Source organism: Homo sapiens, chromosome 5 (genome assembly GCF_000001405.40).
Source record: "Homo sapiens chromosome 5, GRCh38.p14 Primary Assembly".
Taxonomy (NCBI): Eukaryota; Metazoa; Chordata; class Mammalia; order Primates; family Hominidae; genus Homo; species Homo sapiens.
This window is the reverse complement of record NC_000005.10, coordinates 22,833,052-22,853,574: the sequence shown is the minus strand read 5'-3', so window position 1 is coordinate 22,853,574 and position 20,523 is coordinate 22,833,052. Positions and strand designations below refer to the sequence as shown.

General features: G+C 35.8%; 1 protein-coding gene across 5 annotated transcripts in view, besides 1 other annotated feature; it reads left to right on the top strand.

The window, feature by feature from the left end:
• Positions 1-230: 230 nt before the first annotated feature.
• Positions 231-20,523, top strand: part of CDH12 (cadherin 12) — a 1,102,672-nt gene continuing 1,082,379 nt past the window's right edge. For all 5 annotated transcript variants that reach the window (NM_001364104.2, NM_004061.5, NM_001364106.2 and 2 more), the window contains exon 1: positions 231-517. The gene's annotated coding sequence lies outside the window, so the exon portion shown is untranslated. The remainder of the gene's footprint in view (positions 518-20,523) is intronic.
• Positions 17,426-17,927: an enhancer, noted in NCBI's record as "NANOG hESC enhancer chr5:22835757-22836258 (GRCh37/hg19 assembly coordinates)". NCBI's record gives its function as "activates a minimal SCP1, AML or CMV promoter by ChIP-STARR-seq in primed H9 embryonic stem cells {active_cell/tissue: H9 hESC(primed)}" and the evidence as "EXISTENCE:reporter gene assay evidence [ECO:0000049][PMID:30033119]".

The following is a 20,523-nucleotide window of genomic DNA, read 5'->3' as shown; positions in this document are numbered from 1 at the left end:
GCTAAGGAGTCCTCGGATTCATTCAAAGCATTCTACAATGAACGCTAGGGGGGAAAAAGAACAAACAAAATACATTTCAAATATAGGATTCAATTACTTTTCACTACTCAATGATGTGTCAAAGGCACGCTGTGTTTTGTTTTGAGGGCGGGGAGATGACAGGAGGGAATCCTGGGCCCCCATTGGCTCGCCGCTCGCCGCTGCAGTTGAGCTCCAGCCGCTCCGAGAGCATTATTGATCTGAAGGGTAAATGTGGAGGGAGCCACAGAGAGGGGTCCAGGCTTTTCTGAGAAGAGAGGCAGCCTCTTCCAGGAAGAAAGTGGTGTCTACTGGCTGCCCGGCCTGGAGAACCTTCTTTGAATGAAAACGGACAAAATGCAAAGCAGTGTGTTGGCACAGTGATTTGGAAAGGGGAAACAGAAGAGAAGGGTCTCACCTTCCGCGCAAGGCTGAGCTGTTGGCACCCTGCTGCGGCCGTCGGTGCTGCTGCTCCTGCAGCTGCCTTTTCTGCCATCAGGTAAGGCTTCCGTTTTTGATTGGGATTGCACCGCGTGTGTGTGATCGCTTCAGGGTGCATGCACAGAAATTCATACATGATTAATAAAGTGATGCCTAGCGTAGTGAGAAGCTGAACGAAGCTGCACACAGATCTGGCAGCTGAATTAGGAGCTTGTGCGTGGTTTTGCTTTGGGAAACTTCGGTAAGTTCTAAACAAGTCTCTGGTCCTCAGACCGTGAGAGGTTACGTGAAAAGAGGAAGGAAAGAAATGTTTTAACCTCAAATGCATCTTAGCATGGCTAAATTTTCAAATGAAAATAAGTAGGTGTGCTAGATGTCCAACTAGTTATTTTATAAATGGCTTTATAGATATCTGATTTTTACAACAAAATAATGAATGCTTTATTTTCAAAGAGCTTCCAGAGATGCCGACCCCCCTCACTCATTTCTCCACTGACGCTGAAATTTATGAACTTCATTCTTCATTTGAAAAATACCACTGTAAAACCATTTAAATGTTTTAATGGCCTGCCTCTCATGGTACAGCCATTTGAGTTTCCTACCACAAAACTAATCTGGGACAAATGAAAGAGATAGATTACCAGATCTGCTGTGGGTTATATAATATGCATTTCCAAATTATTTTAAGGTTATTGATCATTTGGTGATACATTTAACAAGGAGGAAATATGTGTGATATAGGACATAATGGCAAATCATTTTTCAAAAAAGACCTTCAGCATTTTATAAGTATTTTCTTATGTTTTTAACATCATTATTTGTTTTTTGCTACATCGGGACCACAGTGTATTTAGAACCTCTGTACTTCAGAGTACCTGATATCTCTTATACACATTTCTCTGTACTCTCTGGAGAGGGAACTGACATACTTCTGGCTGATTCTGCGACCATTTCATGATTCTCAATTTCTCATCGAGTATTTTGAAGCTCATTCACAAACTGCTCAGCTAGAAAATTACCTTACATACTGAGGGGGAAAAATTCAAATAGAGTAGATTCTGAAAATGTGTTTACAGTTTTAAATTACACTATACATGACCAAAACAGGAAAAATGCAACCATGCCAAGCAGGTATTAGTTTGCTTGATCTTCACTGTATACCTGAGCAGTTGTAAGGTTATAAAATAATATCCAGACACACAGCTGTCAAGAAATACTGAACCTCATCATTCAGTGGCAGCGCCTCATCATTAAATTATCCTAGACAATTTAAAATATCATCTTATATATTTTTATTATTATGTCAACAGGAGAATTCAACCGAGTAAGTTTTTATTATAAATAATTCCATGATTCTAGCAGAATGTCTCTTCAGAATTGAAAGGCAGATGGTTACTTTGCCCAAACCATGAACAGGTGATTGACGAATTGTTTTGGAGTGGTTGAGTGGATAGCCACATGCAAAACAGGGGCTTCCCTTTAACTAATTTAACTGATACATCGAGTTATTCAGCAACAATATTTAGAAACTGTCTCTCCACCTTCTATGAAAACTACTGAAGTAAAAAGAGGTTTTCAATTAAGTTGAAAATCGAATTCTAGAACATAACATATTTTTCTCTTAATAACTCTTACTTCAGAGACCAGTTTCCAAGATTAGCCCTGGCATTGTTAATCCCCTTCCCCATTAAAAAAATGTTTTTGATTTTCTGTGTTGTTCAGTTAATCTCTGCTTGCTGTGTTCTTAACTTCTACTGTGGTGTGCCATTTCCAAGCAGTAGGGGGAAGTTTTTAAGCCACGAATGCTTTTTTATTTTCTACTCAAACTCACTCCTCTCACTGATCTGCTTAGTGATGTGATCATTTTAGATAATTCCTACAAAAAAGAGAAAGCTGCATTATTGTTGGGGGGAGGGGGAGGGAGTGTGAGTCATTTCTTCCACACACGGAATGATATGTATTAAGTTCTTACTACAGTACAAACAGTGTTTAGTTTATGGGGAAGAAAATTTCTCTTAATGCCTCATGTGACGTACTTACACCTCATATAACTCTGTCCTTTGAGGATGGAGCATAAAACTGATCTCCTTAAATTGAGCATCTTTTGAACCTGATATTTTGGCAGAGCCTATTTCATGTAACAGTCTGGGATATAGGTTGAAATCAATCCTTTATCATTATGAGATTAATAAGGATATATGTCACTCTTGCCTCTTAAAATGCATTGTGATGAACATCAAATCAGTCTTGCCATGATAGGAGGATTCATAGAGTGATGGCTGTCTTTAAAAGTGAGCCATGTTTTCATGTAAAAATATAAAATCTAAGGGCTTGGGTAATAAAATGACCTACTAGCAGACTCTGTTGTAAATTTCTTCCTACTTCCAAAGGGAAAGAGTGATTACAGATGTCTCATTTAAAGTAAGATATTATCCTGTTCATCTTCTAGCAAATTATTGCTGTTTTAAAAGTAATTATGTCAGAAATTATCATGTGATCATTACATCAATAGAGAACATTTTGCTTATAATCTAGTACCAATTGATATTCCTATTTGTGTTAAATTATAGGTGGAAAATATTTATCCTTCCTGTTTAACAAATATTGCATTTTATTTTTATGAATAGGCTTAAATAGTACCCAAAAATACATTTAATTGTTAAATAAATGAAAATGTATTATTTTTACTGGGAGCTTTTTATTTTGCTAATACTGAATAACTGAACAATTTAAACTCAGAGCTTTTAAAAGCCTTTTAACTTTCAGCTTTAAGACAGTTGCAGCTTTTTCCTGACTTACTATGCTAGGAGGGTAATATATCATAACCAAACTTTAAAAGGAAAATGTGTGTGTGTGAATGTGTACTATGCTGCCTGTATTGAATATCAATAGTAGTTACTCAAAGTTGTTTTTAAGCATCTCATCATAAGATGATTAATAAAATGGAGTAAATAACTTTTTTACAACATATTAAGTGAGAGTTATGACTGTTCTAAAATTACAGATGAACTCTACATAATGTTATTCTACGTTTTGTGAGATTATAGATAAATGCTTTGAATTCAATTATTCAATTACTCAATTATTAATTATCACTTCATTTAGTAAGCACCTGTTAAATTATTGAAAACAAGGCATATGTTTACCAGTCTTATAAATTTAGCTGTATTCAGATTTGTGTCTATCATGTTATAGCTGATGGTATTAAGGGATAAATTAAATCTTCATTATGCTTCAGGTATTTTTTTACAGTGGTTTTCTTTCATAACCCTTGCTCCATGAATATTTAATCCATTGCTCTACAGATGGATTTATATTACCTTGAATGTAAGATATGTGTTTCTTGAACAATGTAAAATTCTTCTTAAAATATATACATCTCATGCATATATCTGTGAAGGTTCTAGTGAGAAACAATGAGACTCCAATCTGTACACCGATACCCATTAGGGAAATACAGGACTTACGTATTATTCCTTAAATCTATGTGTTCAAATGGATATATGTTACTCTTGCCTCTTCAAATGTATTAAGTTTTTACTATGTGTTCAAATGGCTGAATGATGCATGCTTGGTTCCAAGTCCAAATACATAGTCAAACATTAGGACACAGGTAGTGTATTTAGACTTACCGGCAAAGCACGATGCTAAATACAAGTAAGGTTGAATATACCTTTAGTACACCATAAAATCAATAGGTTCTATAATTCCAATTTCCTGGAAAATTATTATAACATACAAAAAAAATCCCCCATGTACAAAGATGAGAGTCCTGATGCACCGTCTACATGATGATGTGGAAAGTTCAAAACTTGAGTCAGACAATTGTTTGAAACCATAGTTTAAGGATTATTACATGAGCAATTTGGGAAAAGTTATTTAACTTTTTGAACTTTGAGTTATTCTGTTAATTTAATTTGAATTACCCCACAGATAACACTTATCATGGTCAGGTCTTTCTCCTTTTAACCTTCCTCATCTCTAAGCTAGATTTGTAGAGGATAACTACAGCCACAGCTGGAACATGGGGTTGGAAGAAAATATGTAATGTCCAGGGTTTGTTATGTGTTGAATTTTGTCACGTTGGGGTAAAAGGGGTTCCCAAGTGACTTGTCTAAAAAAAAAACATTTTTTGATGAAATGTGAGTCCTCACTCTGAAGAAGCACAATATATCCTAAACTTTATATGATATGATGAGAAAAAAAAATCCACACTTACGTACAGCATAAAAAAAGTACAATACAGAAAATAAAGATTTCCAAAATGGGGAAGAAAGACAGATTATCTACAAAATATAACAATTAGACTGAATCAGTATTCTCAGTGACAGCAAGGAGAGCCAAGAAATGTGTACCCATAATTCCATTATAACTCAAATAAAATAATTGCCAAGCTAGAGTTACACACTGAAGAAATTCTCTTTGAAAAGTAGAGACATTTTCAAACAAACAAAATCACCAGCATCCCTCCCTGATAAACTAACTAACCAATGTGCTTCAAGAAGGAAAATGATCCCAGACAGAAGATCTGAGATCCAAGAAGGACTGGGAAGCAAAGAAAATGGAGACCATGGGGGTGTGGGTAACAAACTTTGATCGTGTATGAACAATAATATTACAAATTTATGGTGTTACATAATTGAACTAAAATACTGGACAAGAATAACAAAATTGGGGGATAAAGTCTTGCAAGATGGTTACACTGTTTGAAGGAAAGAATAGGCTATTAATCTGGCACCACATTAGGTAAGTTAAAATGTAATCACTAAAAAGCAGCAATAGTATCAGTAATTGATTGATTAAGTAGATAAAACAATCACTTGAAGGTTAAAAAAAGAATGCTTTCAATGGACAGACATGGATATTCCTGGAATTTGAAAAATTAGTAAGTTTACATTGTGATGAAAGTTTTGCCATCATATTTCAAAAGGTTAACATGTCAAATAAAGAGACAACAGGAGGTAACCAGAGAGTTAGTACATAATGAAGGGAAATTTGTAGTATTTTGTTTTATAGAGACTTGAACACATGAATAGATAAAATAGAAAACATTAAAAAGAGACTGATCACCAGGCATGGTGGTGCACACCTTTCATCCCAGCTACTCAGGAGGCTGAGGCAGGAGAATCACTTGAACCCAGGAGGCGGAGGTTGCAGTGAGCCGAGATCGCACCATTGCTCTCCAGCCTGGGCGACAGAGTGAGACTCGGTCTCACAAGAAAAAAAAGAAAGAAAGAAAAAAAAAGAATAAAAGAAAGAGGCTGATCATACAGTAAAAGGGAATTAAATGATGGATTAAAGTTTTAGTGAACATGAAAGTTTATAATATCTGGAGGATAGATGAGGGATACAATTAGAAAATGTCATTAATTTTAATAATGCCAGTGATATACTATTTTTTTAAAAATCATATAATTTTATCTGGCACTTCAATGTTTATTCAAAAAAGGATTATTAGGAAATAACCAAAACGTGATGCTAATTAAACGATCAAAAATAATACTTTTAAATGTAATGGAAAGAGCTTCAAATGCTCAGTAAATGTTGAAAACCAGAGGAAATTAACATTAATAGTTTCCATTCTACAGTGAAAATATATTTTGGGGTGCTATCATCAGCACTAAATGAAATGATGTATTTAAGACGATTTCTGAGTAAAGAATGTAGGAATGATTGAAGTAACAGCAGATAACAATATACCCAAATGAAGTGTCTTCCTGCAACTTTCTGAGTCAATATTTCCATGAGGGGTTGCCATTATTTTAAGGGATGTGATTGCAGGCAGGTTTTAAAGCAAGATTTTACTGAAACTCTACACTTTCCTAATTACTAGGAAATGATAGTGACTGAAAAGTGCAAAACAAGCTCTTGGCAAGGCTTTAAGTTATATGTTTACTTAGGTAAGAATAGAAAACCTCAAATAAATTTCTCAAGTAAAAGAGTGTCTTATAGTGAGAAATCTAGTTATATTAATAACTATCCAGGATTTGTGCTTTAACACCTACTAGAAGAAGATCACCAATATAAGATCCTACAAGAAGGAAGCCCAGTATAACAACTGTTGTTGAGAATGGAATTGGAATGAATTGTAGTCGTGTCAATAACCTAACACATAGGGCAAATTCCTATTTATATTAAACATTAACAATAAAAATTTTAACAACGGTATTAAAAAAATTCTTTCATATACTCAAATCTCAACATTTTACATTTTGCTGACAATTAATTTTTATATGCCACAATTATATAACACCAGTGATGAGGGAAAGAGGTATAAATGAAAATATATGGCATGTGATCTGCCCTGGCCCAGAGGTTTACACACACCTCCAGATAGGGATATTGTCAAGCAGGTGTTACTTTTTAAAAACAAAAGTGAAGGTCATGCTTATTTAAAACACACAAAACATCACAAAAGCACAGACCTGTCTCATAGAGTTTTGGCTGGATTGTAAAATGTGGAATCTTTGGGAAGTAAATTTGACAGTATCCATCAAAATTCAAAATCCAGCAATTCTAATGTTTAGATGATTTTTTTCACATTAAATCTTTCATCTGCTTTTTCTTTATTAGTTTCTGGTTTTATTCTTTCATCACTGAGTGCTTCTTCTTATTCTCTTTTTCTGAGTTCTCTGTGTCTTTTGACCTGTAAATACATCTATCAGAGCATCCCAGGATACCATCATAGGCCCACTCATCTCTCTATCTAGAGAATCACTGAAGGGGTAATTGCATCCAGTAGCATGGGTTTAAATGCCATCTGGATGCTTTTTCCAAATCTATGCCTTTACTTCTAATCCCTCTGCTGACTTCAATTCAGAATGCCTGCTCAATATTTCTATCTAGGAATCTAACAGTCACTTGAAACCCAACTTGTTCAAAACCAGACTTTTCATTTCTGCCCCTCTTTACCGCACCCTAAATATACCCATTTTCCTAATCTTCTTTATCTCAGTAAATAACATAATTATCCATCCAATTTCTTAAGACCTAAGGGTCACTTCTGAGACTTTGCTCCTCTCCATTCCACCCACATGTGGTACAATATCAATTCTACTGCTTCCTGACTTCCTTCTCTAAATATGTCTTCAACCCAGTAACTTCAAAAACCCAGTAACTTCAATCCAGTAACCTCACTTCCTATACCACAGTCACCTTCGCTCCAGACACTATTGTCTCACATCTAGACTGTACACTAGTCTCTAAACAGATATTTCTGTTTCTACTTTTATACTCTCCCTTCTCCCCGACCCCAACTCATTACACAGTAGCAGATGTACACTCTCCGATATAGTATCAAAGTACTTCCCATGGCTTAAAACCAATATCTTGTCAAGCCCCTCCATTTCCTTTCTCATTACGTCAAGTTCAACACTGCCACAAGGCCTTGGCGCTCACCCAGCATCCCCCTTTGTTTCATGTAAATCTTGGTTTTATTGTCATTACATCAGAGTGATGTTCTCTAACAATTGTCTGAAAGTAGCACTTTCTTCTGCAGAAGAATCATCTCTACCCTTATCCAACTTCATTTTATAAAATAGGACCTACTTCATATCATATGATGATGCAAGCCCCATGAGGAAAGCCCTATAATAGTCGCACATAGAGGGCACATAGCAGCCCTCAATCCATTTTGTTTGGTGAACGAATAAATGAAGGAATGGATAAGAGTGCATAAATTCACCCAAAAGTATGCCTATTAAAGGAGTTTGAGCAATTTACATCATAATATGTTAAAAGTGGATATCTTGAGGGAGGGGTGTGAGACATACTCGTGAATTATAGTACTTTCTATTGTAATTTATTCATGCATTTACCTTGGCCTATAAATGTACTAATCATTAGCTGGTGATGTTATTAGTGTTAGGATTTGGTACAGAAACTGTGTTCTCCTGTTAAAATGATTAGGGGAATAAAATAAACACAATGTGAGTGTCCTTCTACAAAAAACAAGTTTTTGCAACTTAAGGCAAAATAATATGGATGAATATTGGTTATCTTTTCAACTCAAGATTTAATAATATCTCACTATGTATAATGTGCTCAATTTCCCGTGTTGTCTACAATTAAAATAAAACACCCGGAGCATACTGAAAAGGGGGAAGAAGGCCTTTCAAGTTTGCCTTAATTGGCTCTAAGATTCAGTTTTGTTATATGAAGAGAACAGAGAAGAATCAGTATTAACACCTGGACTCAACTCTATGCACTGTCTGGAGCTCCTAAAGTAGCAATTAAATGACTTAATCTTAAAGCCCTCCGAGATTTAATTCAGTAGCTCTCTTCAGAAGGGCATTGCTAATTCTTCCTGAATTGCTGCTGCTTCTAACTGCACTGCCTTAATTTGAACAGTATTTGAAATTCCATTCTCTCTAATGGATTTAATTGCATTATGAAAGTCAGCTTAGAGTGGAAACTTATTTCCTCTTGTGGAGTATCTCTCTACAGAGTCTTTTCTTTTTCTTTGAACTTGACACATATGCACATTTATGCAGAATAATGTCACAAATGCAGTGTTCCCTGTTTAAATCAAGTATCAAAGAATGTTCTTTAAAATATTTATATATACACCAAAGGATGTTAGCTATCCAGTGTGCCTACAATTTTGTACAAGCTCAGATTGTCTGATCTAATAGACTCTAAGTCCTTGGAATATTAACAGATCTTTGAGTTTTTAAGCAGGCAATGACCTATTCATTTAGAGGGCTGCTTCAGTAAAGTGAAAGCTCACTTAGGTTAATGATGGATCATGAAGCTGTTTGATTTGGAGTGTGCTAAGTTGCCCATTATCTCTAACATTAATGTGGGTCATGTATTCACATCCAAATAATGAGTCAAAGCCCTGCCCTTGTTCCTGTAGATTTCCAAGTTATTATAGGAAACCTTAATGTGTAACTCCATGAAGCTTTGTGTATGATGACTGCAGATAAATTATTTTTTACCGAGTATGAAATTTCAGTCAATTTTCTTGTGAGAATAACAGCTGCTTATTCACAGTTCATCTGGATGTCTTCCGGAACAGAATGACAGGCATTTTCTCTTTTTTATCTTGATGAAGGATGGAAAAACCATGGGCAGGTTGTATACAAATAAGCATCCTTATAATTATACTCCCATTTCTCAGTTGCCCCTGTTTCCTCATGCATTAATACAAAAACATGCAAAAAGACACAGCCCTACACAGTGAGACAAGGCTGGTGGACATTGAATGTACTCATTAACTTTTTAAAAAGTCATATTTCTTATAAATGTCTTATCAAACAGCCAAAATCCTGCTTTACAGTGCCAACATGATAATTGCTTTCTTTAGATGTCTGTTTTCTTTTTAATTCTGTAGTCTCTCTAGAAGCATGTGTCTGTGGTAAGCAGTCAAGAAAATAAAGAAAATGCACTGGAAATATATTTTAAATATCTTTCAAAACATTTTTGCAGTGCCTTCACATTTCATGTTTATTACCCATGTGTATGCATACACACACACACACACACACACACACACACACACCACAAATGTTAAGAACAACTTCTTCAGTGAGATCTCTAAAGCTAGCTAAATGCTTCTGATAGAAGGTAATAAACTCTTTTGGCATTGATCCTTCCTAAAAATGAAATACTTTCACACAATAGAGGAAGCTATGAAATATGAATGACAGGAGGAAAACAACTTCATTTTTTCTGGCTCTATGATTTACAGTGTAGAGATGACAACCATGGGGGAGGTAAAGAATAGTGAATTCTTCTGTGTTTGATGCTAATTTCACAGTACTACAGAGAAAAAGAACATTGTGCCATATTCTGGAACTCTTAGTGAATTTATTTAAAGATGGTCCATTAGTTCATGTCACCATGGATAACTGGTAAGTTATGAGTGTTTTCACAGATAGAATTGGGGAAGACTTCCCCAGTATTGTGGATTCACAGAGAGCTACCCTGAAAAATTACTATATTTTCCTTCCCAGTCACAAAGCTATGATTAATAACTTTAACGCAGCACCAAGATATATTCATTAATGGTTATTTAACAAATTTTTGTAAATGCATTTACTCTTCTATTCTTTAATGCCAAGAAAAGTTTCAAACTCTATGAAAATAAGATAATTTCAATTTGAAAAAGTAAAGCCAAATTCACTTTACACAAACATACCAAAAAAATGCACCTGCCTTTTCTCTGGTAGAAACTGAGAAAAGTAAACACAGTTACAATATGTATAAAGGCATTATCTCACTTTTCCTTTGGCTTATTGCTTGTTGTTTAAAATAGATTTAGAAAACTGCATTAGGGAGTATTACCATGATAGAATTAAGTTTGATTGTTTTTTGATGACTAATCGCAAAAATATTAAAACCTCTCATAGTCTGTATTTCCCAACCTTTCTTTGTTTCTGGAAATACTTTCATTATTAACTGATCTCATATTGAAAAATCCAAGTAGTTTAACATTTTAAATTTTACTATGGGATTTCATCTTTCGTTCTAGAGTGAACACATAACTTGTAACTTGCCACATTAATGATACCTTGTCTTTATCCTGACTAACCATGTACTCTTGGCCTACAACACCAATAAATCTTTGGTTATTACCCCATTCCACATTATTTACTCTATTAAGCTCTGGTCCTTGACTATTTTTTTGTCTCTGTAACTCTCTTGCAAAAAACTCTCTTGCATACACTCTAATGGGCCATGTCTTTCATGGGCAGCCATGTATTGGATCGTAAATCCCTCCTCTCAGACACTACAACCTACTGTCATTCATGTTTACAGGGTCTAAAAACTTTGATTTTTTCCTTATGTTGCATACAGTTTTTTTTTAGCTGTCTATGCATATATAATTTTAGCCATCTTCCATTTAAAATACTTTTTAGATTGCATATTTAACATTATACATTTCAGGTAACGTGTTTGCATTTTAAAAGAAGTCATGTAGAAGTAAAGTTTAGTCCCAGTCATGACTAACAGAATTTGATTTGGGGTTCCGTGGCAGTACTAGTTCCATGGATGCTATTATGAGGATTGGTTTTCATTTTAAAAAAGTTTTCAAATATAACCTGTTTGAGGTTTTTCACCTGTTCTGTTGTCATCTCAAGTATTTTTTGCCACCTACATGATTATTGTTATTTTAAGTATATTTTCATATTTTATTATGCATGGGATGCATGCGGAACCATGTGGTTATAGCTGAATGTGTTGAACACTTCATCTCCCTTTCTTTTCACCTGCCATCTCACTTCCAAGAGACAGTTGCTCAAACCAGCAGCTTCCTAAGTATTCTTCCAAAAATTTCCTGCCAACTCAAAAATGCATAAGTGTAGACTACTCTTTGTATACAATTTACATAATGTTTATTTGACTCAGTTAATTCTTCCCTCCTCCTCAACACAGTTCTTAAAGTTGGATTTTCAGATGCCCACATGACTGGTTTTACCTTTTGCCTCACTAGCTATTCCTTCTCAGTTCCAGTTGCTAGTTTCTTCTGTTCTCCCCTCAGTGTTGGAGCAGCATTAGTTTTCTCCTGTCTATCTACACCCACGCCCTTAGAGATCTCATCCAACTTCATAGTTTTAAACACCATATGCTGAAAACTCCCAAATATATATTTCCCAGCTCAGCTCTCCCAAAATCTAATCTCCTATACTCAACTTTTTTTTGGCATATCTACTTGGATATCTAATAGACATTCCAAATTCACACGTCCAAAATGAATTATAGGTCTTCACTCACAAACATATTCTATGCTCAGATTTCACGATGTCGGTCAACATCAACTCCATCCTTCCAATTACTCAAGGTGAAGTCTCTCAATCAAGCCCTTTTATGTCCTCTATTTCACTCACATTGCATATCTAATTTGCCAGCAGATCCTGTTGTCTCTACATCCACAGTATGTGTAGGATCCTACCAATTTTCATCTGTTGCTCTCTTGTCACCATGACTCCCGTAGTAGTAATTGCTTATCCAAATTACTGCTTCTAGTTCTCCAAAGATTAGCCTCAAGAGAAAATGCTATTCTTTTAGAATATGGCAGATCATGTCACCTGTCTGGTAAAAATCAACTGGTAGTTCCCAACTTACCTTAGAGGAAGTACCAAGTGTCTGTGTAGTCTGTGCCGCCTCATTTTATTTCTGATCCGTTTTCCCTGCATCCTTCCCCTTGTTCTTCTGCAGCTCTGTCCAACTCTTCTTGCTTTTCCTGGAACTTAGGAGGTTTACTCCCACCTTTGCTAGCTGTTCCCTCTGACTGGGATACTGATTACCAGCCACCTACTTGGCTAGTTACCTTCAAGCCTCTGTTTGAATCCCCCTTCTCTATGAAGGCTATCCTCTCTATTTAATATGCAAATTGTATAAAACTGTATAATACAATTTCCTTATCCTGGTCTACGTTTTTATTTTCTTATATTACATTTATTATTTACTTCCACCTCTCCTTTCTGGAATGTAAACACTTGGAGAACAGAGATCTTTGTCTTGTGTGCTCATATATTTCAAGAGATGAGAACAGTGTCTAACAGACTAACATATAGTAAGTGTTTGCTATATATCTGTAAACAGATTATATGTATAATATATAATAACATAGCATATTATATATAGCTTTTATATAAATATATAATATATATAAATCACTGTATTATGCCAGAGTTATTTATGTGATTTTAGTGTGGTATAAGCATACCCAAGCATTTATTAGCATGAGTATGCATGCATTCGTTTCATGCCTGTAATCCCAGCACTTTGGGAGTCCAAGGCAGCTGGATTACAAGGTCAGGAGATCGAGACCATCCTGGCCAACACAGTGAAACCCCGTCTCTACTAAAAATATTTTAAAAATTAGCCGGGTATGGTGGCTCGCACCTGTAGTCCCAGCTATTCCAGAGACTGAGGCAGGAGAATCACTTGAACCCAGGAGGCAGAGGTTGCAGCGCGCCAAGATCGTGCAACCGCACTCCAGCCTGGGTGATAAAGCGAGACTGTCTCTCAAACAAACAACAAACAAAAACAAAAAAGAAAAAGATTTTAAAAAGTCATCTTATATATTTGCTTATAATAAGAAAAATATGGTTGAATTTTAAAACTGAAAAATGAAACATCTGCAGCATCTGCAGTACTTAGTTTGTTCTGGTTTGTGTGTGACTAATTTTGTGGTTTCAATCGCACTTGACAAATTAAAATCAGAGTTTTAACTTATTGTTTATAAAGACTCCTCAATGGTGGTAGAGGATAAATTAGAGGTAAAATTACCTCTGCCTGCCATTCTTTTTGCATCGAATATTTAGCTACTTTACCCTTTATGCTTTTAAATGTTCAGCCATTTACAAACTACAATGAAATTGTGGTTGTGCATTTATACAAGCACGTGTACAAACATGTGTCTACTTATGTGTTTCTGGGTTTGTAGTTAAGTTGACTTAAAGCAAATTAGAGTTTATAAACCGTGAAGGGTATAAGTAATTTCAAGTGTTGGCTGGGCATGGTGGCTGACACCTGTAATCCCAGCACTTTGGGAGGCCGAGGCAGGAGGAACACATGTGTCAGGCGTTCAAGACCAGCCTGGCCAACATGGTGAAACCCTGTCTCTACTAAAAATGTAAAAAATTAGCCAGACGTGATGGTGGGTGCCTGTATTCCCAGCTACTCGGGAGGCTGTGGCAGAATTGCTTGAACCCAGGAGGCAGAGGTTGCAGTGAGCCGAGATAGCACCATTGCACTCCAGCCAGCCTGGGCAACAAGAGCGAAACTTCATCTCAAAAAAAAAAAAAAAAAAAGACAAGTAATTTTGATTGTAAACTAGCATAGGGACACACATGCATACACATGCACAGAGATAAGAAACATGTAAATGATGTTTATGAAGTATAAGAATTGTATCCATTTAAATAAATTGTAAATATTTTCATCTATTTTGTTGTTGTATGATATTTAACCCCTTTTGTTGTAGCATGATATTTAACCCCTTAATTTTTCTAACTCTTGTCCTACAAAAAAATCTATGCTACATCAAGAAAGCAATAGAAAGAATAAGAAACTTTCAAATATATTGAGTAGACATAATCGTGTTAACAAAAACACCGACACTACCAACAACAAAAACTTTTATCTTAAGTGACAAATTTGCCTAAAAGGCTAATCTATACATTTTAAGGCTGGGCACAGTGGCTCATGCCTATCATACCAGCACTTTGGGAGGCTGAGGTGGGTGGATTGCATGAGCCAAGAGTTCAAGACCAGCCTGGGTAACATGATGAAATCCCATCTCTATTAAAATACAAAAATTAGCCTGGCATTGTGGCGTGTGCCTGTAGTCCTAGCTACTCAGGAGGCTGAGGTGGGAGAGAGGATCCCTTGAGCCCAGGAGGCAGAGGTTGTAGTGAGCCAAGATCATGCCACTGCACTCCAACCTGACAACAGAGTGAGACCTCATCTCAAAATACACACACACACACACACACACACACACACACACACAGACACTCTCACACACCCATTTTAAGAAATGAATATTACCTTTAGGTAAATCCCCCTTTGCCTGCCTTTAATGGAGGTGTTGCTATTGTTCTTTCAATATTAATAAAATTAACCAGTGAATCAGTTTTATTAGTTATGCTACAGTCATGGAAATAGAGCCCATTCTAAATTTTATGAGAACAAGAGATTCAATTTTAGAATGACTTACACAAATGAGTTGTAAGCTGAGGAAGTGAGAGTCTGGAAGGTGGAGGCTGAGGATCAGAGAGAATAAGCCACTCTCTTTGCTGCCTGAAGCACGGGTGCAGGTGAACCAGTCAAAGTTGGCAAGAAAATCTGGGAATCCAAGCACATTCAGCCACTAGGATGGTGGGACCATGATAGGGTGCTCATAAGAGGTCTACAAGAAGCTGTTGCCCCCTTTGAACAACTACTTCTACGGGTCTACAGCCAAGGAAATAGAGATGAGTGCTTAAGGCTGCTGTTTTTCAGCATGACCGTCATCAGGGTTAAGAGCTGAATGAAGAAAATGGCAAAGCAAGGACAAGCTGGGCCCACTTGCCCCCTCTGGATCTTTCCATCAAATATCTCCCTACAATGACCTTGGAGAATAATGGTTATTTTTTCACTTCTGCCTTCAAATTGTGCTGAAATTGCATTTCTGGTCAATTCTCAATCAGCAACCATCGGGTAGAGGAATCTGTGAAGTATGCTACCCGTTTCACCAAATTGATATATAGGACAGAGCAGTAGGTCTATTCCTTTACACACTGGCTTCCAAGCACACTTCTTTCAACTGTTTAACTTCCACGTCAAAGAAATAGCAAAATTAGGCTTCTATCTACCATGATCATATTATGACTCAACAGCTAAGTATAGTTTCCATGTAAATTCTATTTAATGTTTATTATCTAATTATATTTAATCAGCCTGTTTTAATTTCATGGTCTAGTATAACTCAAGCCATAATATAAAGCAACATGTCATAAAATGTTCAACACTTCAATTCATCCAGAATGTACATTGAAAAGTATGATGTGATCCTTTACTCTCTTCATAATAACATATTTTTACATGACTAAAATGTCAACAACCTATTGGTGTTTTGACATATGTTTCTGTGTAATACAAATTGTTTATCTGACATATGGCAATAGTCTGAAGGACCTAATAACATTTTTTTAATTATACGATTTTTTCTTTATGTATTTAGGATTATTTTATTTTATTTTAATTTTTATTTTTGAGACAGCATCTTGCCCTGTTGCCCAGGCTGAAGTGTACTGACAAGATCATGGCTCACTGTAGCCTCAACGTGCTGGGCTCAAGCAATCCTCCTGCCTCAGCCTTCAGAGGAGCTAGGACCACACCCAGCTAATTTTTTTAAAATTTTTGTTCGTAGAAACAGGGTCTACTGTGTTGCCCAGTCTGGTCTCGAACTCCTGAGCTCAAGCGATCCTCCTCCCTCAGCCTCCCAAAGTGCTGGGATTACAGGCATAAGCCACCATACCTGCCTATTTGGGATTATTTTATAGTGAATTTGATGTCCCAAGATTATATTATTTTTTGTGTCTTTCTTTCATTTATATATTAGGTCACTAAATCAATATTTACTGTCACACTCTGTTGCTCTAAGCATTATGTGTATAGTATTGAAAAGAACAAAGTTCATGTCTACATAAGACTTTATATGATATTCTTCTTTAGCTTCAATTTATATCTCTCATTAAATGATAGTTCCATTGGCATGAAGAAGTTCAGATAAGAAATTTCAGAAAATGAATGAAAGCAGGAGTTCTGGATTGGTCACAGCCTTGAATTTCCCAAAGACATGGTGGAAATAGTTACAGTATTCATTGTAGGGATCACTTTATTTACATGGTTACCCTTAGTTTTCAGAATTCGCTGTAATGGAATTGCGGCAATTTTATAACAGGAAACTTACAACTTTGTTTAATTTTTTTTTGAATAAACACCTGAATTCAAAACAGCCCATCACAATTGTTAGTTTACACGGCTTTCTTGCACTCAGTGGAAAAGAGGCATTTCAATAAAATTTTGTCCATGTTATGTAGAAAGATTGGAGGTTAAAACATAAAAAGCCCCTTAAAAAGCATCAGGACTGGCTGGGCGCAGTGGCTCATGCCTGTAATCCCAGCACTTTGGAAGGCCGAGGTAGGTGGATCAGGAGGTCAGGAGTTTGAGACCAGCCTGGCTAACATAGTGAAACCCTGTCTCTACAAAAAATACAAGAAAAAAAAATTAGCCGAGAATGGTGGTGCATGACTGTAGTCCCAGCTACTCAGGAGGCTGAGGCAGGAGTATCACTTGAACCCAGGAGGAAGAGGTTGTGGTGAGCTGAGATCGCATCACTGCACTTCAGCCTGGACAACAGAGCGAGACTCTGTCTCAAAAAAAAAAAAAAAAAAGAGAAAGAAAGAAAAAAAGAAAAAAAAGCACCAGGATTTTCTGTGCCTAGTGTCACATAATTATTTCTTTTTAGAGTAGGCATTGATTCCTTGTCCAAATCCTCTTGCACTATTTGAAATTTTGTATTCCACAGATCACCCTTCATGTAACTGGTTGTGAAGGAAAGAATTCATACCATACTCTTCCTATGCAGACATTGCTACAGTTGAACAATAGCTCAGCTGCTCTCTCTCTGGGAACAAAGGAAGATTGCAGTTTCCAACATCATTGAAATTAGCTGGCCTCTAACTTAGTTTACTAAGTGAAAATGACACAGTAGGACAATCACTTCCCTGAAGGAGAAGTTAATTGCTGGCTCTTTATTGTCCAGTCCTCCTCCCAGGGCCATGCCAAGTATGGAAACAGGAGATGATTTTGGAACTGATGAGCCATCACATTGAGGACAGCTTTCTGGAGATTTGCCCAGATTCACAGTTGACTTTGGATGAGTGAGAAATAAATAAATATAGAATACAAGAAGGTGAGATTAATCGTTTGTTAGTGGAGGATTCTAATGCTGAGTGAAAATACAATTCCCTTGTCAGAAATAGCTTACTGGTAAAATAATACCATAGAAAAATTCTAAGATTCACGGAGAGATAATCATGACTAATGAATAATCACTAAATAAACCCATCTTCTTATTAGTAAGATTATTCTCCTTGATCTAGCCCCCATTCAAAGAATAAAAATGAATATTTACTTCTATTTTTTACTCCTAAAAGTGGAAGACTGTTCAAAAAATAATTAACTGCCCAAGAAAATGGTAATGGAGGACACATTTGAAATAGCAATATAACAATGCTGCTTCCCATCTGCAATATTTCCTTTAGGATATCCTAGTTTTCCATATTTTACAAATCTTTCAATAATGTGACTGTTTTTCATTTCCAGAATATTTTTGCAAATCGAGAACAAGAAGATAGAATAGGCCAAAGCAGATTGTAAAAAAGCAGAAATGTTATATGTGAACAGAGTGTAGACATTAATATAAAAATAATCATGATATGACAAATAGGTTCATATCTAGTATTCCAAAAGAGGTGTATGTTTTAACAAAAGGCTGACAAATTCTTGCAGGAGACATCTTCGAAATCCTTCTCATTGCAGTATTTTGCTAAATAGAAATGCAAATTTATTACAAGATTAGACAGCTTTTTATTTTATGAGCACATTTCATGCGTTTTTATTTGCTAAAATGCTAAGCTTATATTCCATAGTGGCTTACTTTTATTTATCTCCCCCTCTTTTGATCTCCCTCTCTACTCTCCTTCCTCACTCTTTTTTCTACCTCTCCTTCTCTTCTTTCCTTTTTATCCCCTCTTGTTTTCTTCCTTATTTCCTTTCCTTTGCTTTTCTTTCCTTTTTCAGAAGTGTATGTCAAATGGCTTATTCTTGGTAAAAATAGCGTATAAAATATGATCCATTGGAATACCATACATTTGCCAGTAAAATTTGTTATGATAGATAGTTGAACATAATTGATGTTGTAAGTACATTTCTAAGTACATGCCCCTTAATATTAGTAATAAATTAATTGGCTTCCAAGACACTTGATCTCCTGAGTGTGTGATTTCCATAAAATAAGTGTAACCTCATTTATTCAGAGCCATAACTTTTTCTTTGCTTTGTGTTGAAAGGGAATAAGTTTGAAAAAGAGAGCTTTTAAACTACACCTGTTTTAAAATCACAGTGAAAGAAAACATCGTTTTATAATAAATGTGCTCATTAAAATTAACATCCTTAAATACTACACACCTAGGAGAACTCTACTTGCAAACCTTTCTGTTGGTGTTGAGGTCAAATTAATTAAGTACATTAAATCTCTCTGCAAATATCCTGTCATTCTTTCCAGTCTCCTCTATAATTATTATAAATTAGTCAGTTATTTTATTTTCCCACTGTGCTCTTTGAAAATCAGCATCCTGGCTGTCAAATATAAGACATGAAAAAAGGCCATTTGACCCTGTTTCTCACTTTCCTAACTGGCACAGCAGAAGTGGTACTGATGCTGAACACTCACCTATTCCAGAGGAAAAGAGGTTTAGCTAATGAATGAAGAATTTTGCAATTATAAAGTGCAATAGACACAACAAAAACACTTTGTGTTCAGTTGTTGAAGGTCAAGGATTATTCACTAAAACATCTGATAGTCATGCTGTCTAGTCTATCTCATGGGGAAATGGTGAGGGCAGAGTTAATGGAGGGTCATGTCCTTTGGTTCAAAACAAAGCTAAAGAGGACTGTTGCATGTCTTATATAGAGTGGTTATTTCTAAGGGAAGTTTATTTCCTCCCGGTGGCTTTGTTTGATTTAGAAAATAACCATGTGCTATAATGTTGGCTATTTGGTCAATTAAAAAGATTTTCCAAGACAGATGATGAAATTCTGGTATAATGTAATACATCTTGATTTAATCAAATGACTGTTACAATATTATACATTATGATTATTATTTTAAAAAACTTGCCAATTATGTGCTCCTAAAAGAAAAGAATATATTCCGACAGAGAGCTTTTCAAATAATTAAAAACACTGAATAAACAAAGAAAAGAAACCATGACCTAGTTTTCCTGTGTTTTCTAAAATAACTCTATATTCCAAATATGTACAAACTCTTATTTTGCAAGTTCTTGATAGTTAAGTGAAAATATTTTGCTATGCAATTAGCAGTAAGGTACTCAATGTTTGTATCAATTATTTAGCAATGAAAAGGTGTGTCTTTTTTAATTGTAATATGACTTTCACATCAACATTCTGCATAGTTTGCATTTTAAACCTTCTTGGTGATTTCACAAAACAGGTGGCTGTAAGGCATCTTCACTGAATCTCAACTATGTGGCCAGCACTGTGTTCTGGCCTGTAGAGAATATGATCAATACAGTTTTCTCCTTACTTTCTTTGTACTCTTCTCCAGCCAGTGAGCTAGCAGCACAGCACATTGGGATATTGTCAGAACATAGAAAAGATTCCAGATCTTTTTGTATTGATTCTATTGGTTACATTCCGTTTACTGTGGCATTAAGTCCAGATTCTATCAAAAGTTAAAATGCATTTCAAACCACTAGATATCTACCTGGGGAAACCTTGAAAAGCAGTTATCTAAACTAAGGAAAAAAGTTAGGCATGCAA